The sequence below is a fragment of the Homo sapiens genome, chromosome 10 (genome assembly GCF_000001405.40).
Source record: "Homo sapiens chromosome 10, GRCh38.p14 Primary Assembly".
In the NCBI taxonomy this organism is placed as follows: domain Eukaryota; kingdom Metazoa; phylum Chordata; class Mammalia; order Primates; family Hominidae; genus Homo; species Homo sapiens.
Window position 1 is genome coordinate 16,396,954 of NC_000010.11, and position 3,646 is coordinate 16,400,599.

Genomic DNA, 3,646 nt, shown 5'->3' on the forward strand with positions numbered 1-3,646 from the left:
TAGATTCTAGGCATTAACGACTGTGCTGGTCTCCCATCATCTTCTTCCCATTCTGCTCAGCAGAATTACCTCAATCCCTGGCCCCCGTCTTTACTCCTACTGCTGCTGTAACAAATTACCATAAACCTAATGACTTAACAGGTTTGGAGTGCAATGGTGCCATCTCGCCTCACCTAACAATTCTAGAGGTCAGAAGTCCTAAAATCACAGTGTTGGCAGGACTGTGTTCCTTCTAAAAGCTTTTGAAGAAAATGTGTTTCTTTGCTTTTTCCACCTTCTGGAGGCTGCCTGTATTCCCTGGCTTGTGGTCCTTTCCTCAAATCACTCTGATCTCTGTTACCAAGTTTCATCTCCCTCTCTGCAGCAACTCTCTTGCCTCCCTCTTTCACTGACTGGAACCTTTCTGATGATATTGGACCCACCAAAATAATCCAAGATAATCTCTGCATCTTGAGATCCACAGTGCATCTCAAAGTCCCTTCTCCCATGTAAAGTCACATATTCCCAGGCTCTGGGAATTAGGACATGGACATCTCTGGGGGCCATAATTCTGTCTACCCGCTGTGAGCCCAGTGTTCCATTTAGAAATGTCCATGTCAGCTGCATAACACTAAGGGACAATTTGTTTACAGAAGTCACCCTCAAAGGCTAATATCAGCCAGGCGCGGTGGCTCACGCCTGTAATCCCAGCACTTTGGGAGGCCGAGGCAGGTGGATCACTTGAGGTCAGGAGTTGGAGACCAGCCTGGCCAACACAGCGAAACTCAATCTCTACTAAAAATACAAAAATTAGCCACATGTGGTGACACACACCTGTAATCCCAGCTACTTAGGAGGCTAAAGCAGGAGAATTGCTTGAACCCGGGAGACAGAGGTCGTAGTGAGCCAAGATCGCATCACGGCACTCCAGAGTGGGTGACAGAGCGAGGCTCCAGCTCAATAAAGAAAAGAAAAGACTATTATCCCCCAGAGCGAGGTATCTTGGGTCTTCAAGTTGTTTCTTCAGGGCCTAGGATGTTGCCTATGACTTAGCAGATGTTCAATAAATTAAACTGAATATTCGTGGCAAAGAAAACTAAGGGAAAAAGAGAGCAAGGACAATTTTGCTGTAAGGCTATTATTTGACAAGCAAGTAAAATCAACAGGCCAAAGTAAATGGTTGGAAGAAAAAGCACAATGAAATTCATCATTTTGTCATAAAGTTTCATAGATAAAACAACAAAATCCAACCTGTCTAGATCAGGGGTTGGCCAACTGCAACCTGTGGCTGCCTGAGGTCAGGAGTTTGAGACAAGCCTGGACAACATGATGAAACCCTGTCTCTACTAATAATACAAAAATTAGCTGGGTGTGGTGGCACATGCCTGTAATCCCAGGAGGCTGAGGCAGGAGAATCACTTGAACCTGGGAGGCAGGAGGCAGAGGCTGCGGTGAGCCGAGATCACACCATTGCACTCTAGCCTGGGCGACAACAGCAAAACTCCATCTCAAAAAAAAAAAAGTTTTACTGAAAGGCGGAGGGATCCATTTGTTAGCACACTGGCTGTGGCTGCTTTTGCACTATAATGGCAGAGTTGAGTAGTTTCAATGGAGACTCTAGGCTCTGCAAGCCTGAAATATTTACTGTCTGGCACTTTACATAAGATATTGGTTGACTACTGGTCTAGATAATTAGAAAGGTTAAATAACAATTTTTTTTCAGGTTAGATGGGTAACATGCCAACTCCGTAACAAGGTTCAGAAGGTGTCATATCTCACACATGCATGTAAACACTCGATGGTCATGCTCATGAACTACAAAAGGATCATTAAATCAGAATTTTGGCTGGGTGCAATGGTTCACACCTGTAATTCCAGGACTTTGGGAGGGCGAGGTGTGTGGATCACCTGAGGTCAGGATTTTGAGACCAGCCTGGCCAACATGACGAAATTCCATCTCTATTAAAAATATGAAAATTAGCCAGGCATGGTGGCATACGCCTGTAATCCCAGCTACTCAGAATACAGAGGCAGGAGAACCACTTGAACCCAGGAGATGGAGGTTGCAGTGAGCCAAGACCATGCCACTGGACTCCAGCCTGGGTGACAAGGCGAGACTCTGTCTCAAAAAAAAAAAAAAAATCACAATTTTGTTCAAAGAAGGTTAGATTAAACATTCTGAAAGCGGAATTCATGGGTTCACGTGTGGCGTGACCAAAAACAAAAAACAAACAAACAAACAAAAACCTCAAAAATCAGAAAGCTGAATTCACGTATTTCACTATCATGGATATTGATTGATTGTCCATCTCTTTGGCTGGGCTGTCTCTTACCCAGTAGATTAGTGGGCTGACATTTTAATTCAAAGTCATGAAATTATAAAGCTGGTCAGTTTATTTATTTTGAATATCTTGATAGCTGGGATAAGAGAGTGCTATATCCCATTTCTTATTCAAAGATCAAACTTTAAATTTCCTGACTCCTTCATTGTGAACATGGACCAAATCATCATGTCAGTATTTAACAGGGGCAACTTTCCTTTTAGCATTGAAGGTACATCATTTCTCCTTCCTACTTGCCTCTTGTGAAGGTATTCACAGACACTAGGAAGAAAGAGTCACTCTCTTCTCCTTGATAGAAATTAACTTGTTTGGCCAAGTGCAGTGGCTATTGCTTGTAATCCCAGCACTTTGGGAGGCCAAGGCAGGAGGATCACTGAGCCCAGGAGGTCAAGACCAACCTGGGCAACTTACTGAGAACCCATCTCTACAAAAAAATACAAAAATCAGCCAGGCATGGTGGCACGTGATTGCAGTCCCAGCTACTCAGGAGGCTGAGGTGGGAGGATCACTTGAGCCTGGGAGGTCAAGATTATGGTGAGCCATGATCGTGCCACTGCACTCTAGTCTAGGTGACAGAGCAAGATTCCATATCCAAAATAAAAAAAAACAGAGGGAAAAATTAGCGTGTTTGTAAGAGTAAATTTATTTAGTGAGAATGAGGAGAAAAATCAGTAAATAGGCTTCTTCCCCCCACAATACTACCTTCGAACCAAAATGGCTTTGTAGTTGTTTTGTGGTCTTTGTATGAAGTTAGAACTTCTAGTATGTTGCACTGAGGGAAAATATTTATTGATGAAGTCATTTTTGCCACATCACTTTATTTATTTATTTATTTATTTATTTATTTATTTATTTATTTTTATTTTTTTGAGACGGAGTCTCACTCTGTCGCCCAGGCTGGAGTGCAGTGGTGCGATCTTGGCTCACTGCAAGCTTTGCCTTCTGAGTTCACGCCATTCTCCTGCCTCAGCCTTCCGAGTAGCTGGGACTACAGGTGCCCACCACCACGCCCAGCTAATTTTTTGTATTTTTAGTAGAGATGGGGTTTTACCATGTTAGCCAGGATGGTCTCGATCTCCTGACCTCATGATCCACCCGCCTCGGCCTCCCAAAGTGCTGGGATTACAGGCGTGAGCCACCGCGCCCAGCCCACATCACTTTAAATAGTACCTTCTTAATTTTAAAAAGCATAAGATTGAACACCAGAAACCACTATTAAAAACTACTAACATTTAACATGGTTTCTAATTTTCAAAAATTGAAATTAAGAGTCTTGGATTATAATTCCACTTTTGCTACTTACTTTGTGAACTAAAACAAGACAC

The 3,646-nt window shown here is 43.0% G+C and overlaps 1 non-coding gene across 1 annotated transcript; it reads right to left on the bottom strand.

Annotated features, from left to right (window-relative positions):
* Nucleotides 1-1,701: 1,701 nt before the first annotated feature.
* On the bottom strand, nucleotides 1,702-1,806 carry LOC124902585 (small nucleolar RNA U13). The gene has a single exon (XR_007062418.1). It is a non-coding gene; the product is annotated as a small nucleolar RNA U13 (small nucleolar RNA).
* Nucleotides 1,807-3,646: the final 1,840 nt, after the last annotated feature.